Raw genomic sequence first — 18,760 nt, 5'->3', positions numbered from 1 at the left:
CTGCTTGTCTCCTGGATTCTTCATTGTTGCTGATCTGCTGTTTGCTCCAGTTTTCTTCCTCACACTATTTTGGTTTCATCCAGATACTGGGGCCTTGGAAAAAAGGGAAGGTCTATGTCTCTCTAGCTCAGTAACATCTTGTCAGTCATCTTTTTCCCAAAGCATCCCAATATTGTGTTTTCCATTCTGATTTTTATTTTTATTTTTAACGAATGATTTGTATTAAGTGCTTGTAAACCTTATTCTTTTTTTCTTTTTTTCTTTTTTAGACAGTGTCTCACTCTGTCCCCAAGGCCAGAGTGCAGTGGCACCATTAAGGCTCACTGCAGCCTCGAACTCCTGGGCTCAACTGAACCTCCTCCCACCTCAGCCTCTCAAGTAGTTGGGACTACAGGCACAGACCACCACAACCATCTATATTTTATTTTTGTTTCCTTTTTTTGGAGAGAGGGGTTCTCCCTGTCTTTCCAGGGCTGGTCTGGAACTCCTGGGCTCAAGGGATCCTCCCACCTCAGCCTCTCAAAGTTTGGGGATTACAGGTCTGAGACACTATGCCCAGCCAATCTGATTCTTTAAGCAAGAGGCATTTCATCTTCACCTGATGAAAACAAATGCCTAAGGAAATAGTTCAAGTATGCACATGTAGATTTGTTCATTTTCCTGATCACTCATCAAAACTTCTGCAAAGAAACCATGCAATGTTTTTATTAATGTGTATCTTGTCCTAATGCCAAAATATTAAGTACTATTGGCTCATTTTTTAAGCATACAATATTTGAAATTCCTTTCTTATATAATCTGGATAACTGTTCCAATCCTAGAGACTGAAAACATACATTGCTACAACACAGGTACAATTTGTGAGAGAAAGGTAAAAAAATAAAATAAAATAAAATAAAATAAGTAGTTCATGTTTTAAAAGCAAAGACTATTGATGTTCTGGGGATAGAAAACAATTTATTTCCCAAAATCTTATGATATAGATTATTCTCCTAAGGAAAATAAAGGACTAGGCAAAACAAAAATCTATATGTAAGTAACCGGAATGAAAATGATTTGATTAAAATGGAGAATATAATTTGAAAAAAACAAAAGCAATTCATTATTTTATAAAGAATAATAACTACAGGTATATATAAATACTTCTTTCTATTTCAGTGAATTTTGTTCATCTCCATTTTCTTAGTTTTACAACCTTGAAATTTGCTTCAAGAAGCCTGAACTACATATGTTCAAGGGTATGAATATGTGTTGTTCATGAAATAGAAATCTGTCCCTATGGAACTGAGGATGCAGACCTGGAGAAGTAGGAAATAATTCTATTTTGGTAAGGCATTAAATGGCAGCTTACAGAGACATTATTTTTTTTGAAGAGGAGTGACAGGATGAAGTTTCCACTTAAGGAAGATTAATCAGGCATTGTAGAAAATGAATTCAATACATCTCTTGGCAGGGCAAGCAAGCTAAAGGGGGAATTTGGGAAAGGAGGTTTCAACCTAAAGAATTAAAAACAAATTAGGTTTCAGCGTAAAGAATATGAAGTATTAGTTAATAAAACAAAAGGTGAAATAAGTAACTGAAGCTTAAGAGAGAAAAGGTCTGATGGATGTTATAAATTTCATAGTTATATGTCAGGGAGGCTTAAGTCATGAGAATTGCAGAACTTTCTTATGAATACTTATTAGAAGGACATATTCAAACCAATGCTGATCAGGGTTACAAACATAAGGACTCTAGTTTGAGATCTATTACACAGCATAGTGACTATAGTTAATAATACTGTATTGTATATTTCAAAATTGCCAAGGGAGTAAATTTCAAATGTCTTGCCACAAAAAAATGATACGTGAGGTGATGAATGTGTTAATTAGCTTGTTTTTTTATTCCACATTTTATGCATATATCAAAACATCAAATTACCTCATAAGTATATACTATTATTATTTGCCAATTAAAAATAAAAATAAGAAATTTGGTTTGTAAAGTAGAGAAACAGGAACATTCGTCAGCCTCACAAATATGGTCTAAAACCATTTTAGTGTGTCCTCTAGAAGGAATGTTGAAACCATTTACTTCAAGTAAACCTTGAAACCATGCAGTATGAGCCCTGAGGCACTTTTATAAAAGCAAAGTGATCTTTACTGTCCTGGACTAAAGAAATAGATGCAATGTCAAGAGGGGCTGTGAGGGAGCACTTCACCCACTTCCTCCTGGGGCTTCTATCTGGACTCCCTCTCCAGACCAGGCTCTGAACCTGACCCAGCCTACGACCTAAAAGAGCAGACAGCCTACCGCAGATACACCAGATGCTACATGTGCAGAGGACAGGCAGTCTCAGTGACTGACCTATTCAGGATGGGAAACACGACACTCCCTCTGATAACAGACCACAGCCCTTGAAGAGCCTGTTAGGATGATTCCATGCTATCATAGACATTAAGTTTCCATAAGAGAAGCAACTCTTCTAAAACTTTATTTACTTATTTGTTTGTTTGTTTATTTATTTAGAGACAGATTCTTGTTCTGTCACCCACGCTGGAATGCAGTGGCATGATCATAGCTCATTGCAGCCTTCACCTCCTGAGTTCAAGCAATCCTCCCACCTCAATCTCCAAGGAGGCAGGACTACAAGTATTCATCTTACTGTTTGGTTATTTTTTTTTAAATTTTTTTTTTATAGAGACAGGGTCTCACTTTGTTGCCCAGGCAGGTCCCAAACTCCTGGCCTCAAGTGATCCTCCCCCCTCAGTCTCCCACAGTGCTGGATTACAGGCATGAGGCACCACACCCAGTATCCGTCCTAAAATCTTAAAAACTAAGGACATTTAGAGTGGCAACTCAGCTAACTCGGCTCTCAACTGACCTTCAGAAACTGGGTTTGCTCCTAATAGCCTTAGGAAGTATCCACAGTCTTTCCTCTTCAAGTTCTTCTGACCCAGGGAACTCTTCATTTGAGTAAACGTTCCCAAACCTCGATCTACCTCAGAATCATGCAAGGAGCTTTCAATAATTTGAGACTCTTGAGCCCTTCTCCAAAATATTTCTATCCAATAGATCCTGGTGAGCCTGAGCCACTGTTGTTCAGAAGCTCCCCCGGGTGATTCTGATACTGCTGATCCAAAGACTCCCATGAGGGCAGCACTGTCCAGGAGTCCTCAGGCCTGGCCTATTGCCTCTGCTGGCCTGAGAACTTAACCCTTTGACTCTAATTATTCCTGCCATGACATGGTCTCAACCTTCTGCCACCCGTAAGTCCAAATCCACATGCACATTGAACATAAGCATTTCTTTCACCATTTAAGTGGTTTTAATTAAACCTAGGTTTGTTCTACCTTAAAACATACTCCAGACTAGCTCTCTTTCTGTATTAAGTTCCTAGGGTTTCCTTGTATCACAACCAAGTGGCTTAAAACAAGAGGAGCAACTTATCTCATAGTTCTGGAGGCTAGAAATCCAAAATCCAGGTGTCAGCTGGGCCTACTCCCTCTGAAGCCTGTAGGGGACTCCCTCCTTGCCTCTCCCTGGCTTCCATGGGTTTGCCAGCAATCCCTGGCTCACTCCAATCCTCAGTCTTCATGTGGCACCTTGGAAAAAAGGGAAGGTCTACTGTCTCTCTAGCTCAGTAACATCTTGTCTGTCATCTTTTCCCCAAAGCGTCCCAATTGCGTGTTTTCCATTCTGATTTTTATTTTTATTTTTAATGAGTGATTTTTATCTCTCTGTGTCTTCCCAGTGTCTTTCCTCTGTGCTTTTCTGTCTTTGTGTCAAATTTCCTGGTTTTAATGCCATCAGTCATAAGAAATTAATGGCTTCATTTTAGCTTAATAACCTCTATAAAAACCACATTTCCAAATAAAATCACATTCTGAGGTATGGGGAGTTAGGACTTCAATGTATCTTTTTAGAGGACGAAATTCTTCCCATAACACTCTTCTCAGCAGTTTGCTGTCAGAGTGTTCTGCTATTTACTCAATTGTTCATAAAAACAAAATGCTCTGTTAACTGAAGGGTCTATGTCATTTATTACAACTAATCCATGTTGACTGTATTAATGTTAACGCTAATTTAAATGACTGCTTAGTACTTTACTAAACATTTAATAAAATTATTTGTTAATTAATTCTTATTAAATAAAATGACTCTCTTGCTGTACCATGATTTACATGCCACGGAAATCACTGCTTATGTTGACTTTGCTTCCACAGACCTGGCTTCCTAGGACAGAATACAAAAGTATGACAATTCATGTATTTTTATTAAAATGATAGTTTTGCTCTTAACCTCTCAGAAAAAAAAATCAAAAGATATAATTTGATAATAATTATTTATTGGCATATATCCTTTTTATTACCAATGATTCCAGCTCTATGTTTTTTGTGTTTTGTTTTACTTTTATCTTGAAATGTCAGCCCTATTTTTAAAGTAAGTTGATTCTTTCCAACCTCTTCTTCTGTATCCTTTGCTGGCTCCTTGTTCTCTACTCACCTTGTATTAAGTCCTATTTTCGGTTCTAGTCTCAACTATGTACTCTCTCTCCCAAGGTGATCTCATCCAGGGCTTTTTAAATACCAATATTGTTCATGATTCTTAATTCTAAATATGCAATCCAGGCTTGCCCTCTAGGTTCCACACTCATGTACCTGACAGCTACTTGGCCTCAAGTCTCAGAATCTTAAAGTATCTAAAACAGAACCCTTATGTATCCAAACACATCTGCTAGACCTACACACACACACACACACACACACACACACACACACACACACACACACGATACCCAAGCACAACAATTCATTTTGTTACTCACGATGTAACCCTTCAGTATTTGCCAACGCAGAATGGTTTCAATACCAGTCACAGTATAACTCAAGTCTCATTAGTAGACAAAATTTGAATTTCACTAACCTTTAAGTTTCACTAACTTTAAGTTTCATAGCATGAACCACGGTATTGAAATAAAGAAAGAGAATGGAAACAAAATGATTAATAATTATAGTGCAGAGGAGAAGAAAAGAACTATTAAAACCATGTCAAAGCCAAAGTATCAGTATAAATACATAGTAAAAGAAATATATTTCAGCATTCGCTGTCCAATATCTACGACAGGTGAGCTGCACCTTTCATAGAGCTTAGTTAAAAACATGTTACCACAGCTACACCACCCCCCTACAGACACCTCTTAACACATTTATCTCAGCATTCTAGTGTCATAGGTGCTTTGCTCACAGATGGTTTGAATGTGGTATGGAAAGGAAGTTAACTAAACTTCGTTTCCACTGTGAGAAAAAATGCTGATTTTCTTTGAGAGAATGTTCTCTATTTATTTATTTATTTACTTATGTATTTCTTTCTTTTTAGATAGAGAGTGTCACTCTGTCTCCCATGTTGGAGTGAGTGGTGGCATCATAGTACACTGCAGTCTTGATCTCCTGGGCTCAAGCAATCCTCCCACCTCAGCTTCCCAAGTAGCTGGGGCTAGAGGCACAACTCACCACACCTGGCTAAAATTTTTTGTAGAGATGAGGTTTCGCTATGTTGCCCAGACTGATCTGGAACTCCTGGACTCAAGCAATCCTCCTACCTTGGCTTCCCAAAGTGCTAGGATTACAGGCATAAGCCACTGTACCCAGTCAGATGTTCTCTACAATAAAAAATATACATCTATGAGTTAGAAGCTGCCTATTTTCTCTAAATCTTGTAGGGTTTCTGGTACCACAGATATGTCTGGTGAGAGTTTTGAGTTTTGTTTCCCTTATTCCTAGGTCTAATAGTAATAAGAATTTCACCTTGAAGTGATGAAAGGTGCAATGAATGTCCATGGGTAATAATAACATCCTGAGACGAAGATGTGTTGAACATGCCAAAGTTACATTGAACTTGCCAGAGTCCGACCTCTGTGAGGTTGGGAAGATGTCTAAAGCTCTGTGGGAACAATGCCTGCCAAAATTAGTTCAGTGCTTCACTGAGGCTACTCTCAGAAAATGGCTCTGAAATGAGATGTGGCATGTCAGACTTTGAAACCATGCAATTAAGGTTTATTTAAATGTGGTACCTGAAAAGAATGTGCTAAAAGCACATGATCAAGTGCTTCTTTTTATGTATAAATTACACATATCTAATGATAAGTATATACAGTATTATAAAACAAGCAAAACTGAAAGTATCCTTACAAAAAAAATGTACTAAAGGCTCTTGGATGACTAGATGAATCAGTGACACAGTAATGAATCACTTCTTTAAAAAAAATTATTTCACATCGTTTTTGATGGGCCTGTATTCATACTTTTCACTTTCTCTTTAATTTCATCTAGGAAAATCAGGAGGATCACAAATGAAAACCATGAGGCAAACATCTTGAGGGCAGAAGCCTGGAGAAAAACTAATGATGAAAGACAGCCAGAGCAGTGGAGTGAAAAAAGTAGAAAATGACTGAGATTTTGCAAACCGAAACTCATCCACAGATACTAGCTTGAAAAGGATATGTTTTCTCCAAGTAAATTTCCCAATTTGAGTTTTTATTTTCCCACTCCAGACAGTAGTTCAGACAAAATGGGAATAAGATAACGAAAAGCTTTTATTTGTTTCTTTAACTTTTAGGAGGAACTAATGTATCATCTATGTGATGACCTCCCAGTTAAGCCTTAGTCATGAGCATGTAGATTGTCTTCAGCAGATGTGTTCTCCCAACGCCATCCCCTTTCAACACCCTCACTAGTTCACTGCCTCATAATCTCCATTGTCTGACAGTTGGTGGAAGCAGAAAAAAACATAAAAGAGCAAAAAAAAAACAGTTGGTTTCAGTAGAAAGTGCACCAGATCTAGGAAACAGGGATCCCTATCCTATGATATGCTGAAGCAGGCTTATACGGGCTCAGAGTTAGAATTGGTTTTGTTAGATTTTTAGGAATTTTGTGAGCCAGTTGTTAAATACAGCCATTATTAAAAATTAAATTATGCAAACTTAAATTTAAAGAAATCCTACTAAAAACCAAGGTACTGAATAGTTAACAGTTATTCCTTCCTAATTATTTTGCTGTGTTTTACTTTACCAATGCTTTTGAGGTTAGGCCTATCTTATGTATATGACGGAAATGCTATATAAAGTATACTTGAAATTGGTCGTGATGGGAGTATTTACACCAAAGAATTTGGCAAACCCCACAAATCAGCGGTTGCTTACTGTTTTGTTGATTGTCTAGGCTTTTTAAATAATGGAGAAATATTTTAAATAATGCATATTAAACCTAAAAGTGTGTCATGTCTATAGACATTACATTGTCAATAGCTATGAAAGAAACTGAGGAAATAATTTTTAAGTATTTAAAAACTATTATCCAATTCAGCCAAGAATCTTTTCATGTAATTGATGAAGTAAAGTTCGAATATTTTCTTCAAATTTTCACTTTCCTCTTTTTTCTTAAAGCATACAAAAATATTCACCAGCATTCATGTCAGATTTATAAAACCAAGAGTTTTTCAAACTCAGCAAAAAGATTCTGCCAAAATTGAATGGCTGTATGGAATTCACACTAAAGACTATTACATATTTTACTATTGCTATCATTTGTCAACAGAGAGCTACACATCTTTTACATAGAGAAGATTATCTTGTATGCTATTATAATGTAATATATACATTTGTTTTGTTTACAATCCAGTTGTTAAATGCTTACCATCACCCCAATATTTCTACCATCCAAAAACTCTTGATTATGGAAAAACTGTTTATGAATATCAACTTCCTCACCTGCAAACAAATGAAATGAGTATCTACCTCACAGGATAGTTTTAAAAGTCAAAAGAAATGTTTATGTCAAAGTCCTGTATGGATTGCAAATGTTATGTATTATCAAAAATTCAGCAAATATGTTTCAGCTCCTAATATGAGCTCTAAGAACTTGCAGAGTTTGTAAAGATCACTAGTACTATGGTCCCTACCCTCAAGTTGCTTACAATCTAGTGGTGAGAAATATGTGTAAATAACTTAAAATTATTTAAGAGTGTATCAAATGTTTTATAACAGAGGAAAAAGCGAAGTGCTATGAGATTATAGGAATATAAGGGATTTTACCTGGAGCACCAAGGAAGACTTCATTAAAAAATGGAATTTTAAGATAAGCTTTGACAAATAAGTTGCATTTGTATCAACTAAGAAAGTGGAAAGAAGGGGCATGCTTGGCTGATGGATGAAATCTCAAAAACATTATCATCACAATGCCTGTTAAGAAAATCATAATTGCATTGATAAATCTGCTACATAAAAACCTTACTTGTTATTTCCATGTAAAATAGAAATTAGGCATTATAGATTATGCAATCCAGCATGCCTATCTATAATCTTACATTGAATCAAGGGTTGACTCAATGTTTAGTCAGTTTTTCCAACTTATAAGCCATGTCCATTTCTGAAAACCAAAATACAAATCAAGCTCCTGCCTTCTTTTCTTAGTGAAAGAAAACATTCATATTGTTTTAAATTTTTAAAATTTTTTTCAAGAAACTATAAAATATGTTTGATTCAAGTATTTCACAAGACAGAAGGCACTATCCAATAGGCTTAAAAAGTCACTGATTTCAAACCTACGAATACATAAATTATGCATGCATTATGTGAACAATGAAGGGCACATCCAAAGTGAGGTTTTCATGGGAGACTGGAACACTGAGGCAAGAGAAAAGTGAAAACATTCTAAAGCCTTCATGTAAACAAGGACTAACTACTAAAAAGCACGATTTTATCCCTCAGTTAATAAGTCTTGCAAGGGATGACATTACTAAGTAAAGTTCATTGCAAGCTTTTTCCTCTCACTTGTCAAAATATACTAGTTTATATTTGTGACTCGAAAAAAAATACAATGCTTGGAAGAAAGCTTGGCAGAGCACTCAGAATCTGTCTGAAGTATAACGCAAGGGAGATGTCTATTAATCTCTCACACACAAAAGTCTGACTCAAAAGGTCTGTGGCCTTGACCTCAAGTGACCATGGAATAGACCACAGAGCCAGTCCAGGATCCAAAGGGATTAAGAGGAGCATTTGCTCTGCTCTGAAAGGGCCTTTTTTCCCCACTCTAGTTTCTAACTTCCCATTACACACACTCCCTCTGCAAGGCACCGCGCCAATGGAGCCGGTTCACTCTGTTCTCTCCTTGATGACAGCTGTCAGTCTGTCGCCGCCTGAACATGCAACATTTCAACAAAATCCAAAGCGGAACTGGAAGGGCAGGGGCTGAAGCACACAGCCTGATCTCCTTCCTGGAGGTCCCAGACTCCTTAACCATCACTTTTCAACCTGCTTAAGGTTAGAACCACCTCACTCTTCACTAACAGAGTTGAGGCAGCTTCTGTCTCCTCAGAACCTGGGCATTCCCACACAGTGTAATTAAGCAACATTCCTGGAAATCATCCTAAGAAGAAAGAGCCCGCAAGTCCCCGTGTAACTTCAGCACGAACGCGGAGGGTGCTAAACCAGGTATCGGATCAAGGGGCGGGAAAATCCCTCACTCCGCCGGCTCCTGGCCCCTGGACCGCGTGGCGACGCCCGGCGGGAGCGCGGCGAACCCCAGCGCATGGGACCGGGGGTGAGACCGCGCCCTCCTGCAGGGCAGGGGCGACCTGGCGAGTGCCCGCGGCTGGAGAGCAGTGCGAGCCCAGCCAGGCGGTGGGGAGGGTGGGAGGCGGGCGGAGCGCCCTGTTCACCCGTTCGCCCCTTGCCGGGAGCTGCGGAACCGCAGAGGGAGTCGCAGAGGCCGGTCCTGGAGCAGGGACCTGTCCTGGGGCAGGGGCCCTCGGGGCACTCACCAACTGCAGCGCGCAGAGGCAGATGAGCGAGCAGCGTCCGGTGCAGCAGCCCATGGTGCCGGCGGCGTCCGAGCGGCGCTGACTGCCAGAGATCCTCGTCCTCCGCCGCTGCTGCCTCCTGACTCCGGAGTAGTCCCCGCCCGGCCCGGCCCAGGCTCCTCGGCCCCGCGGCCGCCGCTCGCGGCTCCAGGGCTCGGGGCTCGCGCCCGCCTTTGTTAGTTTCCCGGCGGGGCGGGCCGAGGTCAGTGCGGTGCGCACGACCCGAGCGTCTGGCGGGGGTCCCTGCGTCCCACTGTGCAGGTCTGTTTCTTGGGGAGGGGGAGCCAGGCGGGCGGGGCGGGGGGTTGGAAGGAGGCTACAGATGGCGAGTGGGTGAATGTCTGTTTAGGGGAGGGGAGTATGTAGGAGGTGGGCGTCTGGAAAGTGGAGTGGGCTGTCTGGGTCCGGGTGTGTGTGTGTGTGTGTGTGTGTGGTGGGAAGGGAAGAATGAAAGGGAGTGCCGCTGGGGAGGATCGGCCTGTCTAGTTAAGAGTCTTTGGGGAGAAAGGAAGAGGGACAGAGAGAAAAGAGAATGAATATGAATGAGCGTGAATTAGGGCGGCCGGCGGCGATGGAGACCCTCGTTGACCGGTGTAACTGGGTAGACCCAGCTGGGCTTTCTTGCTGAGGGTTGTGCTGGGGGTTGGGAGGGTGGTCGGACGCGTTTGCAAGGGAGGGGACACGGCTTAGTTGAGCTGCCCCAGAGGTGGCGAGGATGGGAGTTGGGTTAGCTTGGGTTCCGGGGAGGAAGGGCCGGGACGCGAGACACCCAGGGTGGGCGGGCGCCGGGGAGCGCAAGGCCCAGCTCCGGAACCTGCCCGGATGCGAGGGGGCCCGCGGGCGCTGCGCGGGCAAGTCTGTTGAGCCGGCGCTGGGCACGCAGCTCGGGGGTCTCCCATCCGAGCTTGCTTCTGCCCGCCACAGCCGGTTGCCTGGAGGGCGCCCCTGCTGGAGTCTGAAAGGGAAAGTTGGACAGAGTTGGGTGGCAAGGGGCGCTGCGGCGGAGCGATGCACCCGCCCAGGGCGCCGGGACTAGCCAGGACGCCGCGGGGAGACCTGGCTTAAGGTTCTTTTCTCACATACCCTTTGAAATCCTCACCGGGAGGGAGAAAAGAGAAGTCGAGGAAGAAGAAGATGCGTAGCTTTTTCTAGAAATGGAGAAGGTTTCCGGAATAGGTATAAATATATCTTCACAGAAATAAATTGAGAAGGATTTGGAAAGAAGATCTCGGATAGTTAAGATACGGACAAACTCTCTCTGAATCCTGTGGAAACTCTCCTGCTCTCTCCCACCTAATAAAACAGAGCGGAGGCGTTCTGCAGAGGATGAAATTTCATCAGGGCTCAAAGACAGATTTTATGGGCGCATTTGTTGTACCTGGTGGAACTGCGCAAGGAGCTCAAAAGCACACCAGAACAGGGAACAAGCCTGCAGGCCAATTATCTCAGAAAAGGCTGTTTTCAGAATTTGGCACAGAAACCCTGTTTCTAGCCCACTGCTGCCCTCCTGGGTTCTTGGCGGTAGGTTGGTAAGAAAAGGCAAGACATCTTTGCGTTTTTAATACTTCCACTCCAGACATGGAAACTGCTCAAGCCGTTAGTTCAGGCGTTAAAAGCAGTCCTGTTTTTATTTTTATCCTTTCTGAAACGTTTCTTCAGGATCTATGTTTATAATTTAAGACGGTTATCATTCCCAAGGAAGTCTGCACATCTTTGAAATTCTAGTAGGGACACATGAATAACCTCAGGATTTGGGTTATTAAAAGGGTCAAGAACATTCATTGTTTACATTCCACCTCTGATATTATCATGGAGACAGGAGAAGTCCAGTCAGAACTCCTCCTCCTTTTTTAATTCAAGCGTTAAGACATCAGTGATCAAGGATCATGTGAGCACGCTGCCTTTATGCACAATCCACGTACTCGTCATCATTCTTTATGGATGAAAACAATAGAAAAAAATGAACACTGACAAATAAGTAGTTTAGCATGTAGAAAAGGACATTGCAGAACATCTCAGGCCATTGACCCCTCTAAAAGCTGTAGGAAGCAGCTGAAAAGTGAGAGGACATGAACAAGTCTTCTATCTATAACTTCCAGAAATTGTTGTAACCTTTTCATCTCCAGAGACTGTGATGAATGATGGTAATAAAAATACTGACACTTCCTTCTCTCCAAATTACATATGTTTACCCCAGTATACTTTGTCATGATTTTATTTATTTAGGAAGTACCATATTAGCAGCTAACTTGCACTGGGTCCTTGCCAGGTGCCATACACCCATCTAAGTACTTTATGTGTGTTCACTCATTTAATCATCACTGCAACCTCATTGGGGTGGGTGCTGTGAGCATCATCACTGAAAAGATAGGGAAACAGGAGGAGAGGCTCCCCTGGCTGCTAAACCAGGAAGAGGAATACAAAGCCAGGGAATTTGACTCTAGAGCTCCTGGATTTACATATTCCCTGTGCTGCCTCTGAAACTTGGGACACAAATAGCAGTTACCCACAGGGAAGCTAACTGTTCCCTCATAAGCAGGTGTAATAATGTACATTGATCTAACATTCAGAGTTAGTACCACCCATGTGGTATGATTTTAGGAGACCAGGAGGGTCCCTTGTACCTCTCCCTTTCCCATTGCTGCCTTTACTGATAGCCTCAAATTGGAGTTTCTTCCTTGTGTAATTTAAGATGTTGAAAAATGCATTTGTACTAAATGCATTTAAATAAGAAACAAAGATAACACAATGCTAATAAGAAGTCTAGAAATTGTGTGAAGCTACCTTCATTTTTCTCTGCAATCTCTTATTCTCATTTTCTAAATTGTATTACATCCAGAACTAAAAATCTTTCTCCCTTCCTTTTTTTCCTTCTTTTCTCCATCCTTCCCTCAAATACTTCTTACAAGTTCACTTCTTAATTGCTTCTATGCAAAGGGCTGTGCTAGTTGCCTACTCTGCAAAGGTAAATGATACCACTCCCTCTCTTCCCCTCAAGGACTTACAGGTGGGAAGGGAGAGCAGATGCAGGCATAAAGTAGCACTCCCTCTGAAAGAGGTTAGTGCCGACTGCTGTCATTAAGTTTTCTTCCTATGAGAGTTAGAGAAGGTTTAAAAGAGGAATTACCAGTCTCTTGGGGAGAGGAAATGAGACTAAAAAATGACAGAGCAATGGAAAGGATGCGGCCTGGACAGGAGTTGGGTAAAACCAACTGGAGAGGAAATAATCTAAGTAGAACAGCCCATCAGCTATATGGCTGTTCATGCTGCTTCTTGGCCATAGAATCTCAGAGAAGCCATTTTGCTCCCCTGTGAGCCCTGTTTTCCCCATACATAAAGTGGGTGTGATAAAAATGACTTGCCCCAGAGGGCTAAGCCTTAGCATTTGCCCCTTGCCTGTCTCTGTGGAGTTTACAGCCTTGGCTTATGCAGGTCTCAGCCTCATGTCACATCCCATGGAGGCCTTTACTTAACAGGCCTTCTAAAATAATACTCCAGTCACTCTATTTTTCTTCAAACTGATTGTTTGCTTACTGTATGATTTCCTGTCTCCCCAACTCAAATACAAAGCTGTTTCCCCAGTGCTTATAACAGTAGTTAAATTCAATATTTGTTGCATGAAGAACAATATGTGTACATTTTTAGCATAATACTTCACACATCATGTTGAACATTATATGTGCACATATATAGTATGTAGTGAGTATTAAATATATGTATACACACACACTCCTTAATGCCATTTGAGTCTGTGTGTTTGTTTTGTTTTGTTTTTGTCTCATGTCTATCTCTTCTATGTTTTTATTTCTTGGTGAAATTCCTTTTGAGAAACTTCAGTCCTATCTCCCTTAAAGGAGGAGTGAGTTGTAGTTGTCCAAACTAACAGATAACTTGGGGGAGACAGCACATCCAGAGGCCAGATCTAGAAGTGCAGATTTCCAGATTCCCAACTTTTGGGGGTTCAGTTTCAAATACTGGATATGGGACACCAGCTTTAAGTTTCTCCTTAAATTAAGATTGTTTTGAGTTAAAATTACTCCTTAATTATTGCACTGTTTTTTGTTTGTTTGTGTGAACCTCCCAGTTCTGCATTTTCATTGAGTTGAATAGTTTATTGCCTGATTAAGCATTCTACCTCCATTGTGAAAAGTTCTTCAATGTATTAGTAAATATATGTGTTTCCTCTGATGCCTGCTTAATTGTGAGCACCTCCTTGGGGCCTTCATGGAGCAAGCAAATTATAATTCTCTACACCTTCTCCTACAACTGGCTTCACTTCATGATTATCTGACAGACATTTCAAAGCAGTATGCCAGCTCAAGTGGAGCGAAGATAAGGTTTACACTGGAGCAAAATGTGGACACACATGTATGGCTAGTTTGAAGCATGCCTGCGAAGGGCTGCAGAACATAAGTGTGCCATTGTGTGGCTGTTGAGACCATCCTTTTTGCTAGAATTGGTTCACTTATTATGCATAGCATTGAATGTATGAATGTTGGGGGCATGCACGAGGGAAAAATGATAAGTTATATTTTTTATATTTTCTTACTTTCTAAAAAGATAGATATTTCTTGATATTTTAAACACTTTACATATAAACATTTAAAAATGCCCCGGAGATGGCTGTTTTTCGGGAGATAAGAAAGAAATTAGAGATGGACATATGGTGTGGGGGTGTTTCTAAGGTCACTGGAAAGCTTGTGGAGTGGGAGAAACCAAAGGAGAAAGGATAAGAAAAGTTCTTTGGTATATTTTGATTGAATAAATGTTACTTATAATTAGTTCTGCAATTGGAAAGATATAGCCAAGCACCTTTTTTCCATTTCTGTTTTGGTTAATAATAAGCCTCAGTTAACATTAACTCCATCAATGGCCTAAAAACACTGATCTGGTTATGATAATTAGTATTGCAATGATACACATTTAGTGTTTTTCTTTTTTTACTTTTTTTTTTTTTTTTTTTTTTTTTTGACAGAGTTTCACTCTTTTCGCCCAGGCTGGAGTGCAATGGTGCGATCTCAGCTCACTCCACCCTCCGCCTCCCAGGTCCAAGCAATTCTCCTGCCTCAGTCTCCTGAGTAGCTGGGATTACAGGCACCCACCACCACTCCCACCTAATTTTTGTATTTTTAGTAGAGACGGGGTTTCACCATGTTGGCCAGGCTGGTCTCGAACTCCTGACCTGCAGTGATCCACCCGCCTTAGCCTCCCAAAGTGCAGGGATTACAGGCATAAGCCACCACGCCTGGCCCATTTAGTGTTTTTTTAATGTCATGCAGTGAGCAGCCCAACCAACACTGGCAAGTTCAAGAATTCCTCACTGCTTAATTTATTGCGGAGTATTGGCAACCACTGGGGATTTCTCTGCAACGAACATGCATACTGTGTATCTTGGGAGCCATGTGTCACAGTCCTCATATCAGAGATTCAAACAATTCATTACAACCATTAAAAACTCAGCTACTCTCTGCTTTCAAGATTTCAGGAGCTCAGATCAGACAAGTCCTCATAGGCTAGAGCCCCAACAATTGACAGTAACAAAGTAAGAGCGAGGGTAACATGATTGAAATGAAAAGAAAACACAAATACAGTCTCTGCAAATCCTGATGCCACCCTGAACGTTTTCTGTAAGCATGCATGTGTGTATTTATTAGATTACATTAAGCACTCCAAAGTACAGAGAATACTGCCCCCATTACCTCCCGTTTTCAAACGAAGGAGGCACTGCTATAACATAAGCAGAAAGACTATTAATATAATATAATGAACTTTTGGAGTAGATTTTCTCACACCTGTCTGGCTCAAGACTCAACTCTATGTTATTGCATTATGTTTCTGTAAAAGGTTTCCATTAAGAAAGGTGAGTGAAAGGTAATGGGATCTCTGTGTATTACTTTTGCAACTTTTCTGTACATCTAGGATTATTTCTAGTTAAAAATAAGAATCTTATACAAATGTGTGATGCATATACAGCAAGCATATGAAGTACTGAACAGATTGCCCATCAGAAACGTAAAACCTAACACAAAATACATTAACTCAGGCTAATATGGAATGAACTATTTTTCAGAAACATGAATGATAGATTTTTCTTAGTTGTTCATGATATATTAATATTCATATAAAATCACCAAATACTTACACCAAGATACATAAATATACAATTTGTATTTTTTAATCACTAAGACAAGCTTACATCTCAATATGAACATGACTCTACTTTTTCCTGTACATTTTTATTCAAGAAATTGAGAGGATTTTTAAACAACCATTAAACTATTTGGTAAAACCAAATAGTTTCCCTCTGTGTTCTCAAAGGAGAAAATTAGAAAATGAAATTGGTAGCAAGGAAAAGTGAGTAAGTAGTCAGTCAGCTGTTAAAAGTACTGTGATGAGAGGGGTGGCTGACAAGATGACTAAATAGGAACAGCTCCGGTCTGCAGCTCCCAGCGAGATCAACACAGATTTCTGCATTTCCAACTGCGGTACCCGACTCATCTCATTGGGACTGGTTAGACGTAGGTGCAGCTCATGGAAGGCCATCCGAAGCAGGGTGGGGCATTGCCTCACCTGAGAAGCTCAAGGGGTCAGGGAACTTCCTCCCCTAGCCAAGGGAAGCCATGAGGGACTGTGCCCTGAGGAGCAGTGCACTCTGGCCCAGATACTATGCCTTTCTGATGGTCTTCACAACCAGCAGACCAGGAGATTCCCTCAGGTGCCTATGCCACCAGGACCCAGGGTTTCAAGCACAAAACTGAGTGGCCCTCTGGGCAGACATAGAGCTAGCTGCAGGAGTTTTTTTTCATAACCCAGTGGTGCGTGGAATGCCAGCAAGACAGAACCATTCGCTCTCCAGAAAAGGGGGCTGAAGCCAGGGAGCCAAGTGGTCCAGCTCAGCGGATCCCACTCCCGTGGAGCCCAGCAAGCTAAGAAACCACTGGCTTCAAATTCTCACTGCCATCACAGCAGTCTGAAGTCCACCTGGGACTCTGGAGTTTGGTGAGGGGAGGGGCGTCCACCATTACTGAGACTTGAATAGATGGTTTTTCCCTCACAGTGTAAACAAAGCCCCCCGGGAAGTTCGAACTGGATGGAGCCCAACTCAGCTCCTCAAAGCTGCTGTAGCCAGACTGCCTCTCTAGATTCCTCATTTCTAGCCAGGGCATCTCTGAAAGAAAGGCAGCAGCCCCAGTCAGGGGCTTATAGATAAAACTCCCTGGGACACAGCACCTGGGGGAAGGGACGGCTGTGGGCACAGCTTCAGCAGACTTAAACACTCCTGCCTGCCAGCTCTGAAAAGAGCAGTGGATTTCCCAGCACAGCGTTCAAGCTCTGCTAAGGGATAGACTGCCTTCTTAAGTGAGTCCCTGACCCCCATACCTCCTGACTGGGAGACACCTCCCAGCAGGGTTCAACAAGCACTTCATATAGGAGAGCTCCAGCTGGCATCTGGCAGGTGCCCCTCTGGGACAAAGCTTCCAGAGGAAGGAACAGGCAGCAATCTTTGCTGTTCTGCAGCCTCCGCTGGTGATACCCAGGCAAACAGGGTCTGGAGTGGACCTCCAGCAAATTACAGCAGACCTGCAGCAGACGGGCCTGACCTTTAAAAGGAAAACCAACAAATGGAAAGGAATAGCATCAACATCAACAAAAATGACATACACACAGAAACCCCATCCAAATTTCACCAACATCAAAGATCAAAGGTAGATACCTCCTTGAAGATAAAGAAAAAACAACACAAAAGGCTGAAAATTGCAAAAATAGGAACCCCTCTTCTCCTCCAAAGGATGAAAACTCCTTGCCAGCAAGGGAATAAAGCTGGACAAAGAATGAGTTAGACGAATTTACAGAAGTAGGCTTCAGAAGGTTGATAATAACAAACTCCTCCGAGCTAAAGGAGCATGTTTTAACCCAATGCAAGGAAGCGAAAAACTTTGATAAAATGTTAGAGGAATTGCTAACTAGAATAACCAGCTTAGAGGAGAACATAAATGCCCTGATGGAGCTGAAAAACACAGCCTGAGAACTTCGTAAATCTTACACAAGAATCAATAGCTGAATAGTTCAAGTGGAAGAAAGGATATCAGAGATTGAAGATCATCTTAAGGAACTAAATCAAGAAGGCAAGATTAGAGAAAAAAGAATGAAAAGGAACCAACAAAGCCTCCAAGAAATATGGGACTATATGAAAAGACCAAATGTACATCTGATTGGTGTACCTGAAAGTGATGGGAGAATGGAACCAAGTGGGAAAACACTCCTCAGGATATTATCCAGGAGAACTTTCCCAACCTAGCAAGACAGGCCAACATTCAAATTCAGGAAGTACAGAGAACACCACAAAGATACTCCTGGAGAAGAGCAACCCCAAGACACATAATCTTCAGATTCACCAAGGATGAAATGAAAGCAAAAATGTTAAGGGCAGCCAGAGACACGAAAAACCCTTCAAAAAATCAGTGAATCCAGGTGCTGGTTTTTTGAAAAGATTAACAAAATAGACTGCTACCCAGCCTAATAAAGGAGAAAAGGTAGATGAATCAAATAGACACAATAAAAAATAATAAAGGTAATATCACCACTGATCCTACAGACATACAAACTACCATCAGAGAATACTATAAACACCCCTACACAAATAAACTAGAAAATCTTGAAGAAACGGATAAATTCCTGGACACATACATCCTCCCAAGACTAAAACAGGAAGAAGTCAAATCCCTGAATAGACCAATAATAAGTTCTGAAATTGAGACCGTAACTAATAGCCTACCAACAAAAAAAGCCCAGGACCAGACAGATTCACAGCTCAGTTCTACCACAGGTACAAAGAGGATCTGGTACCATTCCTTCTGAAACTATTCCAAACAACAGAAAAAGAAGGACTACTCCCTAACTAATTTTATGAGACCAGCATCAT

At 41.3% G+C, this 18,760-nt stretch overlaps 1 protein-coding gene and 1 long non-coding RNA gene across 7 annotated transcripts in view; one reads left to right on the top strand and one right to left on the bottom strand.

The window, feature by feature from the left end:
• NKAIN3 (sodium/potassium transporting ATPase interacting 3) overlaps positions 1-10,072 on the bottom strand; it is a 750,799-nt gene extending 740,727 nt beyond the window's left edge. For all 6 annotated transcript variants that reach the window (NR_130764.2, XM_017013359.2, NM_001304533.3 and 3 more), the window contains exon 1: positions 9,799-10,072. Coding sequence is in view for 5 of the 6 variants with exons in the window: in XM_017013359.2 (XP_016868848.1) it covers positions 9,799-9,852 (54 nt within the window). In the remaining variant the exon portion in view is untranslated. The remainder of the gene's footprint in view (positions 1-9,798) is intronic.
• Positions 197-18,760, top strand: part of LOC124901952 (uncharacterized) — a 45,162-nt gene continuing 26,598 nt past the window's right edge. Inside the window, exon 1 of the long non-coding RNA XR_007060932.1 lies at positions 197-9,469. This is a non-coding gene — a long non-coding RNA (uncharacterized LOC124901952). The remainder of the gene's footprint in view (positions 9,470-18,760) is intronic.

This window comes from Homo sapiens, chromosome 8 (genome assembly GCF_000001405.40).
Source record: "Homo sapiens chromosome 8, GRCh38.p14 Primary Assembly".
NCBI lineage: Eukaryota > Metazoa > Chordata > Mammalia > Primates > Hominidae > Homo > Homo sapiens.
Note: the sequence above shows the minus strand (reverse complement) of the source record. Positions and strands in the feature narration are given on the sequence as shown.